This window comes from Homo sapiens, chromosome 6 (genome assembly GCF_000001405.40).
Source record: "Homo sapiens chromosome 6, GRCh38.p14 Primary Assembly".
Taxonomy (NCBI): domain Eukaryota; kingdom Metazoa; phylum Chordata; class Mammalia; order Primates; family Hominidae; genus Homo; species Homo sapiens.
The window spans coordinates 45,891,930-45,913,142 of NC_000006.12; the positions used below are offsets into that span (position 1 = coordinate 45,891,930).

Genomic DNA, 21,213 nt, shown 5'->3' on the forward strand with positions numbered 1-21,213 from the left:
TGTACTTATACAGAAGTGTCTCCAAGATACATTGTGAAGCAATTTTTATTTTTAATTTTAGCTACTACAGGGTTTCCCATACTGTGTGCTACCTGCTTTACATTCTATCTGGAGATCAACTCACAACATTTTTCATGACTTTATGTTTGATCATATCACATCTCTGCCTTCCTGACCGAGGAAGACTATTGTTTGTTGCAGTCTGTTTTCCTCACCTGTGAGACTTGATGGCAGTCTTTGGGTTGAAATCCTAGCTCTTATTGCTTATGAACATAAGCAACTGTTGTGGGCCTCATACTATATCTGTAAATAAGAAAATAGATATGGTACAGGAATGTTATAAGAATGTGAGATAATGTAAGCATGTACTACTTACCATATGAGGACTGCCATTAACACTACTTGTGATATGGCAGTTAGAACTGCAGAAAGGAGTGACCACACCTTGGTTTTGCACCGGGAGAGGTGAAGTTTTTTGTGTCATGGCCAAGAATGTTCTAGAGGAAGCCCAGCATTTGACTGGCTTTTTGGGCTCAGTAGTCTCAGACCAGTATCTCAAAGAATGAGCCACAAGTGATAGTTCAGAATTCATGATCCTGTGGGTGCAGTGCGGGCTTTGTTCTTGCCTGTGTGGAGGCATTTCACTGCCCCTCTTAGGGGAGCTTATTTCCATGATGCAACCATGTGTTTTATCTGGTGGCTTTACTCTCAGGATGCCTCCTGTTGTCAATTGTTGCCTTCAGTGCATTAGGCATATGTTTGAATCCATATTTATGAACAATGTCTTTCAAAATAGTGAATTAAAATGTCCATGTTGTCTTTCTTCATCTTTACGAGGTAAAGGAAAAATAGTTGCCTTTCCATATTCTTTCCATTTTAGAGCTACTCAGAGCTCTCAGTGCAGCTCTAGGTCAAGTGGTCTTACTGATTATCAAGTTGGCTTTCTGCCTTGATGCATTTATAGGAGCTTTTATTATTGACTTTGGAGCTCCTTGCAAGGTACTCCAAAAAAGCATTTTAAAATAGTCTCCAGTGGGCAGTTTACATTTTAACTGCTCCTTTCATTATCTTCCTCAACACCCTTATACAGTTCCCTTTTCTAGAATTAAATAACCACACGATAGCTTTTGGGCTCCATGTCTTTTTCGGATGTTGAACTTGGCCCTGTTGTTGTCTTTATTATGTTGTGGTTCAGCGAGAGTCTCATGCTTTTTCACATTCATCACCTTTCTCCTAGTTTTTGTTTTCATGTTGTATGGCAACTTGATAAATTAAGGGCCAAATATTTAGTGCCACCCTGGTTTTTTTTTTTTGTTTTAAGAATTCCTTTGAGAATCACTGTCAATGTGATAAGAGGCAGAATCGTGTGATACATAAGAATGTGGGTGCAAGAAGAAAGACTGAAGACCAACATTTTCCAAAAGTCCCATGGTTCCAGGTGAATGTAAAGTCTTCTTCCACCATTAATTAATCTATGATTTAAGACTGAAGATCTGCCTGTCTCTTGAGTCTTATTTTTGAGGCCACAGTACTTTGCAGACCATTTTTCTAGAAATATAGACTCTGATTTCAGGTTCTCTTGCTTCACTTTCCTATATCACACTTCCACAAATCCCAGAGCAGGGCCTGCCAGCTCTCTAGGTTTCTCTTCTCTCATCCACACTCGTCGTCCCTAATGGCAGCCTGATTGATCTTATGCTGAAGGCCAAGAGCTCAATGAATTGTGAGAATTTCTGGTGGAATTTCTTGGTAGAAAATAGCTCTTCACAGGTCCAATACTAATGTTTCCAAAACTGTAAGTCAGAGAGAACTCCCTACCCCACAACACATATACATCCCTTTCCATAATATGTTCCTAGTACCCTTGAGACTATATTGGGGGTGGTATACACTGGGTTTGACCTAAAATGGTAATCCTTATGTGGACTAAAAAAAGAAATTTTTCTTTTTCTAGTTTTCTTGTTTTAATTAAAGAAAGAACCTATGTTTTGCCATCTACTTCAAAATATGCCAAAAGGGAGCAACAACTGCCACAAGAACCAGTTCATACTCAACTCATCCCATGGTGTGGCAGTCTCGTGGACACGTAGCTAAGTTACAGGGGATGAAACTAGCACACTTGTGTCTAAGAGAGAGAGAAACTAAAGATAGTAAAGAAAGTGGAATTGTATCCTTGGGAAAGATCTTCAACACATGGTTAAATAAAGAGACAACCATGAGGTATATTTCACTTATCAATTTGAGTAGAATTGAAAAATAATGCATCTCAATACTGGTGATGATGTGAGAAAATTAGCACTCATAGTCTGCTGGTGAGAGAGTAAGTTGGAACAATCTGGAGGTAAATTTAGCAATCTATCTCAAGAGCCTTACAATAGGTGCGCCTTTTGACTTAGAAATTCCACTTCCAGAAATCTATTCTAAGGGAAAAATAGACATAATGAAGAAGCTAGCTTATTGGTACTTCATTATAGCATCAATTGAGTAAAAAATTAGAGTGACCTTAAGGGCTGAATAAAGAAAACTGGTTAAATGTATTGTAATACACAAGAATAAAGTTATAGATGAAAAAGGGCATGGAAAGATATTCATGATGTATGCATGAAAAAAATCCCATTAACAAACTGTATAGAGTGTTGGCTAATGATAATTCTCAAAAAAGACAGCTAGAAAAACTTATTGACCAAGAAAAGCTAAGTTTATCAGATTTATTTCAACAAAGAAGAACATCTTCTTGACAGAGTCTTAGTAGCACATCAGAAGGGAAGGATATTTACAGGGTCTTAGGGCCATTTAGGGCCAAATGATTATAAGGTGGGTCTTGAAAGGCAGAAAACGGGCTGGGATTGGGCAAAGTTTATAATGTAAAAGCTTTGAATCCATGCGCACTGTAAGGTGAGGTCTTGGACAATTATTGTCGAGCAAGCTGTAGGTCTTGATAAGTAAGCAAATATTTTCTGGAGAAAGTAGCAAGTTGTTTTTGTCTGGTCCTAGTATTGTTTGGCATAGAAACAGAAAAATATATTTGGCCCCAGAATTGTTTATCATGGGGACAGGAAGGTACGTTAGGTTCAGTTCTCTTTTTGTTAAAAAAAAAGTATTCATATTTATATTCCTATCTCACTAGAAAAAGTCTGGGAAAATAATTATTTACTAATTAAAGGTGGTTATCTGTGGGCAGAAGGATTACCAGTATAATTTATTTTTTATTTCTTATCTGTATTTTCAAAATTTTCCCTAATGAACCTATATGCGGAAAAAAGATGCATTCGTTTAAACCTTATTTAGTCAGATAATTCTAGGATTATAGCACCCAGAATCACCCTCCCCTCAAAGCTTCTAACCTGTTTCTAAATATAACACCTAATCTAGGCACAAGTTTGTGGCTAATTTGGACAACTGACTAAATTATTAACTCATCAAAACCATGTGATAAAATGAGCTTAGGTAGCTTTTCATTTTTTCAGCCAGACAGATAAATGCTGTACACACTGTTTTAGAAGGATTCGTTCTTCAGAAGCACCTTGGAAGCATATTTAACTAACACAGACACCTATTTCTCTCCTTAGCTCTCTGTTTTCACTCTATTTTCAGAATTATGGTACAGTGGGTGTCAGGGACTAGAAGGAAATGAAGAGTGAGATCCAAGGTGAACCCAGAAGTCTGCAATAGTGTCTCATGATCTCTCCAGTCAACCACTAATAAATACTTTTGAGCATCTAATATTTGCTGCGTCCTAGACAAGGTGAGGCACGGCACAAAAATTGAATAACCTACGCTCTATCTCTTAAAGGAGCTTAGTTTGTAATTGGGGACAGGGTGGTAACAGTGACTAACACACAGGAAACAATTCTAGACAGACTGAAAATGGTGTGAAACCAAGCACTGCTCCACAGACGGAATAGTACTGGGTTTTAACTGGTCTCTATTATGGCATTTGTATTATGCATCTCAGCGGTCTAGACTCCAAGGCCTATATGGATTTGGAAATAAGAGTGTTTGGGGCATTGAGATATTCTACTTAAAGGAGGATTACATTGAAACTTGTTTTTCTCATTTCCACATTTTTAAATTAAAAATCTTCCCAAATTTTGAGTATGCTTTACTCTTTGCATAAATAAATGCAGCTGAATGAACCCAATTGCAGGGCCTCAGGGTCATGTTTATTGCACGTGGATGTAGATTTCAGTGAATCTAAGTAGAAGGATAGGAGACCTATATAATGTAAATCGACTCCAAGTCATACTCTGAAATTTACTTTAAAAGAAAAAATTCACATAGACGAATACCTGATGGCCATGTATTTTCTGGTTATTGGCTTCTTTCCATTAAAGAAGAGCACAGAGAGACCTTCCAATAGATTGAATGTTCCAATTGGTTGAAATGTCATTCCACTTAAAATAACCCTTTATTGCCAAAAAGTACTCTTCATCAGAGATTGTATAATCTCATAGACAAGGAGCCTTCATAACTCCCTTCGGGAAACTGAGGCCCAGAAAGGAGCCTTGCTCAAGGGCACATGGTAATTTAATGATGGACCTAAGAGTCAAATTCTCGTTTCTTTGTTTTCAGTCCTGACTTCCTACCTCTCCAGTCTAATACTCCATGCCTTTTCCCACAAGGTAAAACTTACTGGGGGCTCTGGGTAGGTTAGCTACTAGACATAAAAACAAAAGAAATAAATAAAAGCAGCATAGGTCACAACAACTTTGAGTGTAATGAGATACTCTCATTTACAATGTCACTTCTCTGGAAGCTTCTCTGGAACAGGACTTAGTCTTCCTCAATACTAGGCACAGTCACTGCCATCCTGTGCCCCTTGGTTTCTTCACAGAACCGTTAAGGAAACCAAGACACAGAGAGATGATGTCTCCCATGCTCCCAGCTCTTGGTCAGCCTGGAGAGCAGATGCCCTACATTCACACAGTGGAAGCCTGGGACGCCTCCTGGGTGAGCAGTCTAATGATCTAACTGGCTATTAAAAAAACAACCACCACAACCAACTTGGCTAATATACCACTTAGAATGCCTTGGGCCACTCGTGGGGTAAAAGAAAATCACCATCAAACAATCTGGGATGAATTACAGAACAGGAAATCCAGAGTTAGGACCAGTTTCAGGGTTTGTTGATTTAGCAACTCTGTGGTCACATCAAGGACCCAGGTTCTGTCTCTGTCTCTTGCTGCGTTTTGCAGCATGTTGCCTTTGCCCTGAGGCTGCTACCCTCTCAGGGTCCCCAGAGGACGGCAGCACTTCCAGGCCTCATACCCACAATCAGAAGCAGTGACCTAAGGAGTCACTTTCTTAACAACAAGGGGATATTTCTCAGAAGTTCCTGAGTAAATCTGCCTTCACAATACTGGGCGGAACTTGGTCAGGAGCCCACTTTGAAACCAACCACAGCCAGCAGGATGGCCCAGACCATTTGTGCTTTACTCTTGGAACTGGGGATGAAATCACCCTCGCTCCAGTCATCTGAGGGTGGGAGTGTGTGTGTAGGGTGGGGGAGTAGGGAGGAGGGAGGTGGTGGACTCCTGACCCAATCAGAGCTCTGCCTGTGGAAGATGGGAGTCGGGATGGTGGGGTGACCACCAGCTGCATCTACTGCACCTGTCCTGAGACCCTAGCTGCCCCTCCCATCAAGATCCACCCCTGGGTCTGCTGTTTCATTTCTTCCAAGGTAATGAAGTGCTGTTATGACTACCCTTTAGCAATGTGAATGCTCATAGAAGTCTTCATCAGACGTCACATTGGCTTCAGGTAAAGCTTACTAAGGACTCTGGGAACCTGAACCCAGAGTCAGTGATGTGGTGTTGAGAGTAGGGATTTCAGCCTAGGAACGCAAGCCACTGAGAGCCAACAGAGAGCTCTGGGCACAAGAAGAATGATATTTTAAGGAATTCTTTAAATCATACCTGGACTGTCACTGTTGATCTACCTCCATGGATGACAATGCAGATGGGAAATATGAGACACTGAAAGAGCATCAGTATAATTTTTTACCTAGCCCAGGTATTATGAAAGAATGTTTATTTAGTCTTGCAAAAAAAAAAAAATTGGTTTTAGGATGGCTGGTTCACAAACTTTGTGCTTTTCGTTTTCTTCTTCCTCTTTTCCATTTGCTTTTGATTTTTTTGTTTTGTTTTGCTTTGTTTGAGAGGGAGTCTCGCTCTGTCGGTGTCACTCAGGCTGGAGTGCAGTGGTGCAATCTCAGCTCACTGCAGCCTCCACCTCCCAGGTTCAAGCAATTCTCCTGCCTCAGCCTCCAAAGTAGCTGGGATTACAGTCGAATCACTTGAGGTCAGGAGTTCGAGGCCAGCCTGGCCAACATGGTGACACCCCCATCTCTACTAAAATACAAAAATTATCCAGGCATGCTTTGATTTTTAAAAAGAATGAACATTTTCCTTTATAATGGGAAAATAAATTAACCTTTATGTGGAAAAAAAAAAGGTACTTCATACTTGTCATCTAAAACAGCACAGGAAATCCCCACCTCAAATAAGAAGTTAGATGACCACTTTTGTAATATTTGAAAATAAACCAACTTTATTTGAATCAGTCAATACCAATCAAGACTGGAACACAAATTGGTAATTGGTTCAGATTCATGAGGAAAACACTCAGCTGTATCTTCATTAAAAGGCATTTTACATTTATTAAGGCTTGAAAGCAAGTCCTGTTATTCATCACCATAGTTAAAGGTCTCGAGAAAATCAAGTAACTATCATTTGGAGTGTCTTTGTAAAATGAAACACTTGTTCTTTTACAAAAGCTAAGCATCTTTTGTTAAGCTAGTTAACTCCCCAGCTTATAAAATAGGACAACGAGGTGGCCAGGAAAGTAAGACAAATTCAAACATCAGCTGGATAATTTATATTTTAAATATATGTATAGTCAATATTGTGAAATCTCTAACTCTACATAAAATACTTCAGATGACTGGATCCTTAAAAGTACATTTTACCAAAAACAGATTGCTTCTATAGAAACACAGAATAGCCCAAACCTTATATTGAGGCAACGTATTTTATTTATTTTTGGTTGCAAGAAAGGAATTGGATCTATTTCTTTAACGTTAAATGAAATTATGCACACTTTGGATCATACATAATTATGAATCGAAAGTATCCTGACACTAAGCTGGGAGATGCATACTGACAAAGGGGAAGAATGTGTGTTGATGAGGAGGGCACATGTTGCTTGATTTGAATGATAAAGAGAAATGGATAGAAGACAATGGGGCTGTGTGCAGCAGGTCCTGTTCGCTTAAGTTTTCCTAACATCAGAATCAGGGTGCTTCACATGCACATGTCTTTCTCTGATGCTTTCTTAAGATTCTCCTTAATGTCATTTAAAAAAATAAGAAAGTGATCCCTTGGGAATCATTGTACTTAGTTTTAACCATGAGTTAACATTTCCTTTTTCCAAGGAGGATGACACCAGCATCTTGATTCACCGTGCAGTTGAGATGGCCCCTGGCCAGTGGGAATTGAGGCGAGTCACAGAAGTACTTACCAAATACTCACCTGCTGCTTCTAGTTTAATTTAATTTTAGACACACACTCTCACAGTGATGCTAAACTCTTTACAAGATAGACCCGCAGCTTCCTGCCTCTGCCTCTCTCTTAGTTCTATTTGTCCAGGCCTTGCTGATTTCTGGGACTCTCATATGGTCAAGATCTATTTCAGGCATGACCTATCTTATGACAGTTCTAAGATGCTTGGTATTGTCTGTCTGTGGAGTGGCCATGGGGCACAGAACTGTGAAGAGCTTCTGTTGTTTCATTTGATAAGGGCCTGGAAAGTCAGCCTGGGAAAACTCGCACTTGGTGTGGCCTTTTTCTGATAAGATCAAGACTTCACTGGCCCCACCAGCACAAGAAGGGAATGCTGAGGACAGGGCCATTTCCCAAGATAAAACTAGTTTGGGATCGTGTGGCCAAATAAGCTGATGGACTCTGTTTCCGACATTTCAGCTCATTTGCTTAGTGCTAGGTCACTCTACCTCTCGTTTAAAAGAATATAGCTATGCTCACATCTGTGACTCTGAATTTATCAAGCATTTGACTTTCTTTATCAGGAGATGAAGAAACTGTGCTTTGGATCCATCATGATTTTACTTATCCAGCTTACTTTTTACAGTTATTAAAATCTTACTCAATACCTTCTCTCTGGGCCAAACTCAGAAGCAGGCATTGCTGACTAGACAGTGAATTCAACTCAGTCATTCTGAGTTTGACTCTTGCTTCTGCCTTCGTCTCCCACTACCCTGCTTCCCCCACCCCCAATAGTGCTGTGCAAGTCAAAGAAGATAAATAAATACAAAATAAAATAAGATCTCAACACAAATACATCCCCTTTCTGTGCCACCAAAATGCTTTCTGAGCGATTTGTATTCATTCAGGACCAATGAAAAGGAAGCCTCCTACCCTATAGCTGTATAGTTGTGGGGTCCCAACTGCAGACCCTCCCGTGCTCCCTGAGTTGTTCTTGGGACACCTAAGGACCTCACCACACTGTTGCTGAGACATGATGTGCTGCACATATGATAAGAAGGCCAGACAGGCTGAAGCATCTGGAGAAAGATCTCTTTTGAAACAAAAAAAAAAAGGAAGGTAATATTAATATTATTGTTACTTTAATATACCATAATAAATCTAGTCATAAGACACCATAACTAACTCTTAGTCCATAGTCACTTGCATTATATGATAATCCAGTGCTGAAATATAAAGAAATTTCTGAATTAAGTACCCAGAAGTGCCTTCCTTCTGTACTCCTCCCTCTCTTTCAAATGGCTATCATTGATCATATAACACCCCCACCTCCTTGTCTTAATATATTTATCTCTGTAAAACTAGCTCAACCACAGAAGGGACATCTAGAAACAGCAATATTGATTTGGTTTGGCCTGTTTGTTTTTAAGGACTTTCCAGTTGCTGAATTCTGAACATCCAATCCGAGTCCTTGGAATTCTGCAGACTTCTCTGGGGTGGAGTGGCCTCACCGGAGGCTTGGTTCTGTTTTCTCTGTGGCAATTGGCTATGATTCACAGATGTGTTTCCAGAACAGCCCAACTGTGGGTCTCAGGGAAGTAAACTGCCTCTTAGGTCATCCTGCCTGTGCTGTAAATTCGGGGAAGGATTTCTGAGTACAGCAGGATTTCACACTAATTAAAAGGCCTTCGGGATCATTTCAGCCCTCATCCCCCAGGAGGCCAGTTTGGGGCTTTTCCCTACAGTAAAAAAGGACTCTTTCCTCACCAGTTCTCCTTGTTAAACATCTCCAGGGCACAATTTCCAGGGGGACCTGGAAAGGTTCCTTTTGAGGTGGAAATGAATCAACTCATTCCGCCTTTTCAAAGCTTTCTCAGGCTTATAAAGTGTCCTACTGAGAAAGTTCCTCTTCCTCAATGGGCTCTAGGAGACCTCCTGCTTCCTCTCCTCTGATTTGATCAATGGGTTACTTTTTTTCTTCAGAGATCCCTGGAGGCAGGTAGGTCCAGGGATTGCTTGGGTTAGAATTTGTTGATATTTCTATGGAAAGGACCCGTGCTATCCTGCCCTTGCTGAGAAATGAGCCAAGTCCAGGGGCTTTCCAGCACTTGGGAGCCTCACCCTTTACCAGCGAACACTATAGAAGGGGGATTGTTGAAGGTAAGGGCCTGTGGCAAATGGATTTTCTCACCGGGCGTTCACTGGGAGAAGGAGTTGATGAGTGCATTTTTCTTAGTTTCCTCTGCACAGGTCCCCAAGCTCAGGCTGGGTAAGCTTTTTAGGAGATGAAACTTAAGGAGAATGACAAAAGAGTGAAATATTAGCTTAAAAATTTTTCCTTTTTTTTTTCACCTGGCAGTTGAGTCAGATTGTAGGAAAATTAACCCAGATGGGTCTACATTTTTCTTCAAGTTCAAACCACATGGTTTCCTAGTCAGAAAGTCTCATGGACTTTCTTCCTAAGGTGTTCTATGATCAGACCACCTCCTAAATGTGGCTTTTACCCATTACAGGCTACAGTTGAATCAGGCAGGAGCAGCTGCTGGAGAGCACCCAGCCGACAGACCTGCATTCCAGAAGCAGCTTGGAGAAACTGGGAAGACATTTTTGACCCATTCTTGGGTTTTTACTGTAAGGTTAGCAGTTACATGATGCCACCAGTCCAAGACTTAGATCATGAGAGAAGGCCTTTTTAAAAGTTTACCAGGGAACATCGAGGCTCATAAAGAACTCTTTTGTCTTCACCCATCTCTCCTCCTCCCACTCCCATCCACTTTCTCATAGCTCAAAAACCACTCATTGGTAAGCACAGTCAAACCCAGGCCTGTAATCACCTCTGAAACAACTACTCCTAAGCAAGCAAACCCCATGGCTGGTAGACCCCGTGGGTATTTTGGCATCAACACTGCTCCCCTCCCCTCCCATCCCAGTCACTGCAGTTTAGAATTGCATGCCAATTTCCTTTTCTGGCAGGGCCTGGACGGCATGGAAGCCAGGGACAGCATGGGCCAGGTGCGCAGCAGCAGCAGCGCAGCATTCCTGGCACTGCAACAAACTGAGAATGTGTCTCAAGTGACTTTCCAGTCTGGCCCTTAGTGCCCAATAACCAGAGTGTCAGAAGTAGTGAGACTGAAGCTGTGTTTGCCAGACACCCAAGTCCATAGCCAGCTCGGTACTCCTCCATTCACTCTCTCTGTCTCCCCTAATGGGGTAATAGATCTCTTTCTAAGAAGGATGAAGATGGCGTTTGTCCTTGGCCTTGTAGGTATGGACGGAGAGGAGGGTAGAAAAGGAGTTGGTGTTGCATGTTTCTAAAGCATCTGAGAAGGTATTTTGATATTGGCAGAAGAAGCTAGTGGCAATCCCATATGTGGGCTCTCCAACACTGACTGACCCCAAACATGCTGAGCCCAGATCAGGCTGGCCGGCCGAAAGGTGGACTGTGTCTATCATTTCTGCTAGATTCCTATGTGAGGAGGCCAGGGATGGTGCTGACCTTCATGAAAGATAGCAGGCTGGAGTTCCCATGATACCAGCAAGATGAGGCTTGATTATAAAAAGTGCGCCTCAAGGCAGTGATACAGAGGAGTCTATGAAGCTGGAGTCTTAGGGGAGTGGTTGAGTCCTTCTGCAGCGGGGATGGGGCAAAATGGCTGTGCTCAGGATCGGCTGAGGCGTTTGGCGACATCAGCGTAGGCCAACTCGATCTCACTGTCAGCTGCACAGGTGTTGGTGAACTCATCACGGGCATAGGCGTTCTTGAGGTACCGCCACAGGCCTGTCATCTCAGCCGGGATATCATAGTTGCGGTATTTCTTGGCCACAATCTAAAACAGAGATGGCAGGACAGAGGTGGTGTGAAGGCATGAAACAAATCATTAGAAAGTGTTAGTGGCCGTCCCAGTGTGTGTGCACTGCAGGAAACCTCCGTGCATCACCACGGGCCATCAGTGATATGTTTGAAATGCAAGGTGGCAGTGCTGTCTTCTTTTTGTTTTGTTTTAATTTAATTTCTTAAGTAAACATAATTTGCCCTTTGACCTAGTGTGTCAAATTCTAGGAATTTTTTCTCAGGAAATAATCATGGATGGATATAAAGATTTACCTACACAATTATGATCCCAGAGCTATTTTGAATAACAAAAATGGTGCACAGCGCCAAAGTCCAACAATATATGAATACATACATTATCTTACACAAATAAAATGTCATAGTGGAGGGACATTAAAAATGATGCTGCTAAGAAAATCTAGTGATCTGGAAAACTCTCCAAGATAGACTATTACATTTAAAGTTCAAGTATAATGCATTTGGAGAAACATGTATGATGGCTAGATGTCTATATACCTATATATTACCAGTGGTTATGTCTGATTGATAGAATTACCAACAATTTTTCTTTTCTTCTTTCTCTTATTCACTTTGTTTTACACAGGCCAGTTTTTCCCTTCTTTATTTATAGAAGGGAAAAAAAACCATGAAAAGCAAGTTAGATATTGGAATGTATATGTAGGTTTAGACTATGACATAAAAGTAAGCAAATACTGATTTCTGTTCTCGCCCTGGTTTGCCACAGTCAGGGGGGATGTGGACTGGAGAGTTCTGGAGAAGTGGTATTTATGTTGAGAGAAACAAGAGCAAAGTGATTAAAAGCATGGGCTCTGGATACCAACTGACTGGATTTGCAATCATGGCTCCACTTAGCAGCTGTGTGACATTGGGCAGGTTACTTAACCTTTCTGAGCTCCAATTTCTTTATCTCTAAAATGGATATAATAATAAAACCTACTTTGGAGTAATAAATTAGTTAATACACATCAAATGCTTAGAGGAGTGCCTGGCAAATAGTAAATACTCAATAAACATCAAGTATTATTATAATTCATTGAGACCTAGCTTGTACCCATTTGCATGCATTTTCTTAATGGGGACAGCAGGATGGTTTCTTTAATGAGGTCTCTCTAGCTGCGGCAGCTTCATGGACCTGTGACCTGTGCAGTCTCACCTTGCACTCAGAAGAGCCCTGCTGTTGATTTAATGCTCTGGGGTCAATGTGTGGAAATTCTTAATAATTTTTAAACAGGGCCCCCCTGTTTTCACTGTGCACTAGGGCCTGCACATTAGCTGGTCCTCCTCTAGCCCTTCCAGGCTAGGCTAGGGTAGGGGTAACAGGAGAGTAGTATCACTTCTGACTCCCCTCCCTCCCTCTTTTCTGTCCCTTTCCTTCCCTCCCTACTCCCTTCCTTCCTTCCTTCCTTCCATCCTTCCTCTCTCTTTCTCTCACTCTCTCTCTCCTTCTCTTCCTTCCTTCCCTCTTTTTTTTGGGGGGATACAAGGGGGTACATGTGCAGGCTTGTTACCTGGGTATAACGCATGATGCTGAGGTTTGGGGTATGATTGGTCCTGTCACCTAAATAATGAGCATAGTTTTTCTACACTTGCCCCCTCCATCCCTCTGCCAAGTAGTCCCCAGTGTCTATTGTTGCCATCTTTATGTCCGTGAGTACCTATTGCTTAGCTCCTACTTATAAGTGAGAACATGTAGTTTCATGTTTTCTGTTCTTGCATTAGTTTGCTTAGGATAATGGCCTCCAGCTGCATCCATGTTGCTAAAAAGGACATGACTTTGTTTCTTTACATGGCTATGTAGTATTCCATGATGTATATGTACCATGTTTTGTTTATTCAGTACACTGTTGATGGGCACCCAGGTTGATTTCATGTCTTTGCTATTGTGAAGAGAGCTGTCATAAATATATGAATGCATATGAAATTTTTTTGGTAAAACAGTTTATTTTCCTTTGGATATATAACCAGTAATGGGATTGCTTGGTCAAATGATAGTTCTGCTTTTAGTTCTTTGAGAAATCTCCAGAGTGACTGAACTAATTTACATTCCCATTAACACTGTATAAGTGTTCCCTTTTCTCCACAGACTAACCAACATCTGTTGCTTTTTGACTTTTTCACAATAGCCATCCTGACTGGTGTGAGGGAGGTGTCTCCTTGTGCTTTTAATTTGCGTTTCTCTGGTGACTGGTGATACTGAGCTTTTTTTTTTTTTTTTTAATGTTTGTTGGCCACTTATTATGTCTTTTTTTGAGAAGTGTCTGTTCATGTCTTTTGCCCACTTTTTAATGGTATTATTTGTTTTTTTCTTATTCAATTGTTTAAGTTCCTTATAGATTCTGGATATTAGACCTTTGTCAGATGCATAGTTTGCAAATACTTCCTCCCATTCTGTGGGCTAACTGTTCACTCTGTTGATAGTTTCTATGTGCAGAAGCTCTTTAGTATAATTAAGTCCCACTTGTCAATTTTTATTTTTGTTGCAATTGCTTTTGTAACTTCATCATAAATTACTTCCCAAAACTGATGTACAGAATGTTTCCTGGTTTTCTTCTAAGATTCTTACAAGTTGAGGTAAATCTTTAATCCATATTGAGTTACTTTTTGTATATGATGAAAGGTAGGGGTCCAATTTCATTCTTCTGCATAGGGATAGTCAGCTATTCCAAAACCATTTATTGAATAGGAAGTCATTTCCCCATTGCTTATTTTTGTCAATTTTGTGGAAGATCAGATGACCGTAGGTGTGTGGCTTTATTTCTGGGTTCTCTTTTCTGTTCCATTCATCTATGTGTCTGTTTTTGTACAAGTACCATGTTGTTTTGGTTACTGTAGCCTTATAGTGCAGTTTGAAGTCAGGTAATGTGACACCTCCAGCTTTGTTCTTTTTGCGTAGGGTGGCTTTGGCTATTCCGGCTCATTTTTGGTTCCACACGAATTTTTAGAATAGTTTTTTCTAGTTATGTGAAAAATGACATTGGTAGATTGATAGGAATGGCATTGAATCTGCATATTGCTTTGGACAGTATGGCCATTTTATCAATATTATTTCTTCCAATTTATGAGCATGGAATGTTTTTCCATTTGTTTGTGTCAGCTGCAATTTCCTTAAGTAGTGTTTTATAGCTCCCCTTGTAGAGATTTTAACTCCCTGGTTAGATGTAGTCCTAGATATTTTATTTTATTTTATTTTTGCAGCTATTATAAATTGGAGTATGTTCTTGATTTGGCTCTCAACTTTAATATTGTTAGCATACAGAAATGCTACTGATTTTTGTACATTGACTTTTTTTTTTTTTTTGAGATGGAGTTTCGCTCTTGTTGCCCAGGCTGGAGTGCAATGGTGCAATCTCTGCTCACTGCAACCTCTGCTTCCTGGATTCAAGCGATTCTCCTGCCTCAACCTCCTGAGTAGCTGGGATTACAGGCATGCGCCACCATGCCCAGCTAATTTTGTGTTTTTAGTAGAGACAGAGTTTCTCCATGTTGGTCAGGCTGGTCTCGAACTCCCGACCTCAGTCGATCCGCCTGCCTCAGCCTCCCAAAGTGCTGGGATTACAGGCATGAGCCACTGTGCCCGGCCACATTGACTTTTTATACTGAGACTTTACTGAAGTTGTTTATCAGTTCCAGAAGCCTTCTGGTGAAGTCTTTAGGGTTTTTGAGGAATAGAATCACATCACCAGTAAAGAGAGAGAATGTGACTTCTTCTTTTCCTATTTGTATGCCTTTTATTTCTTTATCTTGCCTGATTGCTCTGGCAAGGACTTCCACTACTACATTGAATAGGAGTGGTGAGAGTGGGCATCCTTGTCTTGTTGCAGTTTTCAAGGGGAATTATCCCAGTTTTTGCCCATTCAGTAAGATGTTGGCTGCAGATTTGTCATAGATAGATGGCTCTTATTATTTTGAGGGGTGTTCCTTTAATGCCTAATTTATTGAAGGTTTTTGTCATGAAGGGATGTTGAATTTTATCCAAAGGTTTTCTGTGTCTATTGAGATGATCATTTCATTTTTGTTTTTAATTCTGTTTATGTGGCGAATAACATTTATTGATTTGTGTATGTTGAACCAACCATGCATCCTAAGAAGAAGCCTATTTGATCAATGTGAATTAACTATTTGATGTGCTGCTGGATTTGGTTTGCTAGTATTTTGTTGTGAATTTTTTGTGTCTATGTTCATCAGGGATATTGGCTTGAAGTTTTCTTTTTTCATTGTGTCTTTGTCAGGTTTTGGTATCAGGGTGGTGCTAGCTTCATAGAATGAGTTAGGAAGGAGTCCTTCCTTGATATTTTGGAATAGTTTAAGTACGATTGGTACTGGTTCTTCTTTTTATGTCAGGTAAAATTCAGCTGTGAATCCACCTAGTCTGGGGCTTTTACTGGTTGGTAGGTTTTTTTAAATTACTGATTCAATTTCATAACTCAATTAGTATGTTCAGGGTTTCAATTTCTTCCCAATTCAATCTTGGAATATTGACTTTGTATACTGAACCTTTACTGAAGTTGTTGATCAGTTCCAGGAGCCTTTTGGTGAAGTCTGTAGGGTTTTCAAGAAATAGAATCATAATCAGTAAAGAGAGAATTTAACTTCTTCTTTTCCTACTTGTAGGCCTTTTATTTCTTTCTCTTGCCCAATTGCTCTGGACTTCCACTATGATGTTGAATAGGAGCGGTGAGTGGGCATCCTTGTCTTGTTACAGTTTTCAAGGCAATTGAAAAGTGTATTTCTAGGAATTTATCCATTTCCTCTAGATTTTCTAGTTTGTGTGCATAGGGATGTTCATAATAGTCTTTAAGGATCTTCTGTATTTCTGTGAGCTCAATTGTAATGTCTTCTTTGTCATTTCTGATTGTGCTTATTTGGATTTTCTTTTTTGTTGTTGTTGTTGTTAATCTAGCTAATGGTTTATGGATCTTCTTTATCCTTTCAAAAAACCAACTTTTGGTTTCATTGATTCTTTGTATGAATTTTTGGGTCTCAATTTCATTCAGTTCTGCTCTGATTTTAGTTATTTCTTTTACTATACTAGCTTTGAGGTTAGTTTGTTCCTGTTTTTCTAGTTCCTCTAGGTGTGATGTTACTTTGTCAATTTGAGATCTTTCTAACTTTTTGAGGTAGGCATTTCGTGCTATAAACTTTCCTTGTAATATTGCTTTTGCTACATCCTAGAGATTTTGGTATGTTGTGTCTTTGTTTTCATTTATTTCAAAGAATGTTTTTACTTTTGCCGTAATTTTGTTGTTTACCCAAAAGTAATTCAGGAGTGAGTTGTTTAATTTCATGTAATTGTGTGATTTTGAGACATCTTCTTGGTGTTGATTTCTATTTTTGTTCCACTGTGGTCCAAGAGTATGATTGATATAATTTCTATTTTTTTTAATTTATTGAGATTTGCTTTATGACTGAGCATGTGGTTGATCTTGGAGTATGTTCTGTGTGCAGATGAAAGGAATGTATATTCTATGGTCAATGGGTGGAGTATTCAGTAGATGTCTGTTATGTCCAATTGTCAAGTGTTGAATTTGAGTCCAGAATATCTTTGTTAGTTTTCTGCCTCGAAGATCTGTCTAACGTTGTTAGTGAGTTGTTGAAGTCCCCCATTATTATTGTGTGTTGTTGCTAAGTCTTTTCATAGGTCTAGAAGTACTTGTTTTGTGAACCTGGGTGCTCCAGTGTTGGGTGTGTATATATTTAGAATGGTTAAGTCTTCTTGTTGTAGTCACCCCTTTACTATTATGTAATGCCCTTCTTTGTTCTTTTTTTTTTTTTCACTATTGTTGGTTTGTGGTATGTTTTACCTGATATGAGAATAGTGACCCCTGCTCTTTTTTATGTTCCATTTGTGTAATAGATCTTTCTTCAGCCCTTTACTTTGAGCCTATGGGTGTTGTTACATATGAGAGGGGTCTCTTGAAGACAGCAGATGAGTGGCTCTTATTTTTTATCCAAATTGCCACTCTATGTCTTTCAAGTGGGGCACTTAGATCATTTACATTCAAGGTTAATATTGATATGTGAGGTTTTGATCTTTTCGTGAAGCTGTTAGCTGGTTACTTTGTAGTTTCTATTGTGTGCTTGCTTTATAGGGTCTGTTGGCTATTTACAAGTGTGTTTTTGTGGTAGCAGGTATCATTCTTTTGTTTCCATGTTTAGAGTCCCTTAAGGATCTCTTGTAAGTATGGTCTAATGGTAATAAATTCCCTTAGCACTTGCTTGTCTGGAAAAGATTTTATTTCTCCTTTGTTTACAAAGCTTAGTTTGGTGGGATATGAAGCTCTTGGTTGGAATTTCTTTCTTTAAGAATGCTGAAAATAGGCCCTCAATCTCTTCTGGCTTGCAATATTTCTGCTGAGAAGTCTGCTGTTAGCCTGATGGGGTTCCATTTGTATGTGTTCTGACCTTTTTCTCTAGCTGCCTTTAAGACTTTTTTCTTTGGCATTGACCTTGGACAGTTTGGTGACTATATACCTTGGTGAAGTTCATTTTGTATGGTATCTCACAGGTGTTCTCTGGATTTCTTGTATCTGTATATCCACCTTCTACCTTGCTTTCATTTTCAGAGAGGGCCCTAGACCATTGACCCTGGGATCCTCCCATTCAGAGAAGCCCCAGATCAGTCACTCTGGGCTTTTGTCTCCATTTTGGTGCTGGTAATATGCAGAGTTTCCCAGAAAGTTATGCTGAAGTGAAGGATGATGATGACTTGATGGATGAAAAACTCACTGTTGCAGACATGTTCACAGACATCTGGGAACATTTTTTCCCCTCTATGCTCCTAGGCCAGTGTTGAACTTCTGTTATAACACTGAGCTATAATCTATTCTGAATCATGATTACTGTTTCAGTACCCTTTTTTTTTCTAACTTGTGGGCAGTGTAAGGATAGCAATCACAGGTTCTTCACTTCTGTACTCCTTGATAATCTCAATAATGATGTTGATCAGAGGAATGATAATAACAAACATTTATTCACTGTGTGCTCTGTTCCAGGGACTGCTTTAAGTACTTTGCAAGGTACTTAAATCTCTAAATAATCCTATAAGGAAGAATCTATTATATTCCCATTTACAGATGAGAAAAGCAAGACAAAGGGAGATTAAATAGGTTGGGATTCAAAGTTTACAATCTTATCTGTACATCAGACAAGGTTCTCTAGTGTCAAGTGTAATAAAATAATTTTAAAGACTGAAGATCCCTAGCAATGAGCAAACTGAAGCTACAAGAGATTATGTGACTTAATGTTACATGATAAATTAATTAATTTAACCAATATCTATTGAGTTACCATTAATATTTATTACAGTCCTTGCTTTATAATCCACAGTTCTTTCTACTTTACTACTCAGCCCTACATAGCTGATAAAGCAATGGGTCGGTCTACTCAGAATCCCTCATGTTCCAGCCATTAATTTACTGTTGCTTGTCTCCAAACCTACTCTTCTATTTACTATTTTTTGTGATGCTGGGGCTAGGACTGAGCAGATCACATCTCTTCTTTGCCAGTGAATCCTGTTAGGTTCTGCCAAGAGGAGTTACTGGAGAGAGCCAGCAAGGTTGGAGGAGGAGAAGGGAGGGAGAAGCCCATGCTTTTCAGCTTCCTCTTTCTGTCAGAGTCTCCATTTATTTCTGGGAGCAGCAGCTGAATCCAGTTTGCTATTTTGTCAATACTCACAGGACCACTTCATCATACCCACGCAGAGAGGCCAGCACATAGCAGGAACTCTGCTTTAGAGGCTGGATCCCAGCCAACCTGAGCTTGGACCCTGGCACCAGCTGAGCATCACTTTCACCGACATTCAGCTCTGCAGGGTCCCTCATCTACAGAGCCCCTAAGTTTGTAAGTTTTAATAATTCCAACCTCTTCCCTTTGTTCCTCCTGCCCTAGGAGTAGTAGCTGCCTCTTGAAGGTAGAACCTCCTAGTATATTTTGCCTTTCCAGTTCTTTACTACATAGTACTTCCTTAAATTCTCTCTGTTAAAATAACTGGTTTGGTGTGGGCACCAAAGAAGCCACCCCCACACTGTTCTGTCTGGCTTAGGTAACTACAAGCAAGGGTGATGAAGTCCGAGTCCTTTGATAAAGCTCTCACAATGAGAGATGCCACCACGATATCTCCCCAGTCCCTTTCTGTTCACTGAAAGATGATGATCCCTTGGGTTGGGCCAAGTTCCTTTGAGAAGAGGCTGTCTTGGCTAAGAGCAAATTCATGCAGGAGTGGTGGCCTGACCAAGAGAACTGGCTGGAATTTATCAGAGTGGATGAAAAGGGTCTCCAATAAGATAAAGGGATCCAAAAGTATTTTTCACAGTGACACACTGATTCATAGAGTAGCCTCAAGTCATTTCATACTGAAATTTTATTTTCAGGATTTTAAAGGGCAGAATGTTAGTTTCAATACAGCAGAAATGCAATTTGTAAATATATACTTCTATTGATGTTGGTGTTCCCCTTCTTGTTTGTCTCCAGGGCTGAACATCGTCACTATGCTAGGCAAGGATCCCAGTGAGCAAGGAAAGGCCTGCAGATGCCTCTCCCAACGAAGACCTGTGCACCCTGGGCCTTGGCTGCTGAGCTGGTCATTTCTTCACACATTGGCTTGACTTTGGGAGATGAGAACTAGGAGGGGGCCAGACAATGAATGTTCAAGCCAAACTCTCATGGAGAGCCTGGGCCAGAGCAACTCTGCTTCCAGGGATGGAGATAAACCTGAAAGCGAGCCACGCAAGAGGAGAGTGAGCATGAAAGCAGCAAGGGGGTAAGGATGCACACGGAGATCTGACGTTCGCAGGGACTTCCATGCTCATGTTCTGAATTTGCTCTTTCATATGAAAACAGTTAGCTCCCACAGCCCAGATTAAGTTTTGGCATCCGAAGCCAAACTGGAGGCCTGACTTGGCTTCCCCTTCGCTCTTTGTGAACTTTAGAGGTTTGCCAGGTTTCTGGGATCTGATAAGCTGGATCAGCAGAAATCCAAAGAGATAGGGGCCAAGGGCTGGCCTTTGTTCTTTCATTGGCCATCTTCTTTTTGATCTCCAGCTTCTCTGGGTTAACCACCCACTGAATTTTCTCCAAGGACAGGGCTTCACTGAGTAATTTAAGGCAGGTGGGAATTGAGGAAATCACAGGATGAAGCCCAAGGCTTGGGAGATTCATTTGTTTGCTTTGTTCAACAAATGGTTTTTGAGTGGTAGTGAATACATGTTTGAGCAAGAGAAAAGGAAAGAAGGAGGGAAAGAAGAAAGGAAAAGAAGGCAAGAAGGAATACAATCCACTTCTGTTCTTCTAGGCATGAGAAAAATGAATTCCAAAAAGATTAAATGATGTGCCTCAGCTCATGCTGCTAGTTGGCAGCAAATACAGGACCGGAACTCGGGTCTCCTGATCTTTGCATTGTATCACTCTGACACAGTGTGACTGAGCTGGAATTATATCATCCCTTTCAGTGGTACTTGTTCCTAAGGAGAAGAAGAATAAAGGATGATGGGTGGGGCATGCAGTAGTTAATAACTTCAAAGAGACATAGATTGGCTGGACCTACAAGTGACTATTGGCTTGGCCCCAAATCCAAAATGTTCTTTTCTAAATAGGTTGTATTTGCCCACTCCATTTTTATGCATGATTCCCTCTCAGTCTTCAGCTCTAAGGCATACGGAAACACCAGTGTACACACAACTGAGTGACTTCAGCTCAAGCTGGTACATGCTCTGGTTGGAGAGGAGATAGCATTTTTGACTCGGGACTTGAGCTGAAAAATAATAGGCATATACTCAGCTGACAGATGATTGAATCTGAGTCTTCTCAGTGAAGCATAGAAATAAACTGGATATCGTAAAGACTTACACCAGGTGATCAAATGAT

General features: G+C 40.4%; 1 protein-coding gene across 14 annotated transcripts in view, besides 5 other annotated features; it reads right to left on the bottom strand.

The window, feature by feature from the left end:
• Positions 1-21,213, bottom strand: part of CLIC5 (chloride intracellular channel 5) — a 248,993-nt gene that overhangs the window by 11,103 nt on the left and 216,677 nt on the right. For 4 of the 14 annotated variants that reach the window (NM_001370649.1, NM_001370650.1, NM_001114086.2 and 1 more), the window contains one exon: positions 6,527-11,326. In NM_001370649.1, coding sequence (NP_001357578.1) covers positions 11,159-11,326 — 168 coding nt within the window. In that variant the 3' untranslated portion in view covers positions 6,527-11,158. Of the gene's footprint in view, positions 1-215; positions 304-6,521; positions 11,327-19,693; positions 20,811-21,213 lie in introns of those variants that run through there. The other 10 variants (NR_045674.1, XM_011514692.4, NM_001256023.2 and 7 more) reach the window with 4 other exon arrangements.
• Positions 6,938-7,491: an enhancer, noted in NCBI's record as "OCT4-NANOG hESC enhancer chr6:45866604-45867157 (GRCh37/hg19 assembly coordinates)". NCBI's record gives its function as "activates a minimal SCP1, AML or CMV promoter by ChIP-STARR-seq in naive H9 embryonic stem cells {active_cell/tissue: H9 hESC(naive)}" and the evidence as "EXISTENCE:reporter gene assay evidence [ECO:0000049][PMID:30033119]".
• Positions 8,999-9,687: an enhancer, noted in NCBI's record as "OCT4-NANOG hESC enhancer chr6:45868665-45869353 (GRCh37/hg19 assembly coordinates)". NCBI's record gives its function as "activates a minimal SCP1, AML or CMV promoter by ChIP-STARR-seq in naive H9 embryonic stem cells {active_cell/tissue: H9 hESC(naive)}" and the evidence as "EXISTENCE:reporter gene assay evidence [ECO:0000049][PMID:30033119]".
• Positions 8,999-10,836: a biological region, named in NCBI's record as "CDK7 strongly-dependent group 2 enhancer GRCh37_chr6:45868755-45869954".
• Positions 9,089-10,288: an enhancer, noted in NCBI's record as "CDK7 strongly-dependent group 2 enhancer chr6:45868755-45869954 (GRCh37/hg19 assembly coordinates)". NCBI's record gives its function as "activates an origin of replication core promoter dependent on BRD2, BRD4, P300/CBP, MED14 and CDK7 cofactors, with strong dependence on CDK7, by STARR-seq in HCT116 cells {active_cell/tissue: HCT116}" and the evidence as "EXISTENCE:reporter gene assay evidence [ECO:0000049][PMID:35650434]".
• Positions 9,992-10,836: an enhancer, noted in NCBI's record as "H3K4me1 hESC enhancer chr6:45869658-45870502 (GRCh37/hg19 assembly coordinates)". NCBI's record gives its function as "activates a minimal SCP1, AML or CMV promoter by ChIP-STARR-seq in naive H9 embryonic stem cells {active_cell/tissue: H9 hESC(naive)}" and the evidence as "EXISTENCE:reporter gene assay evidence [ECO:0000049][PMID:30033119]".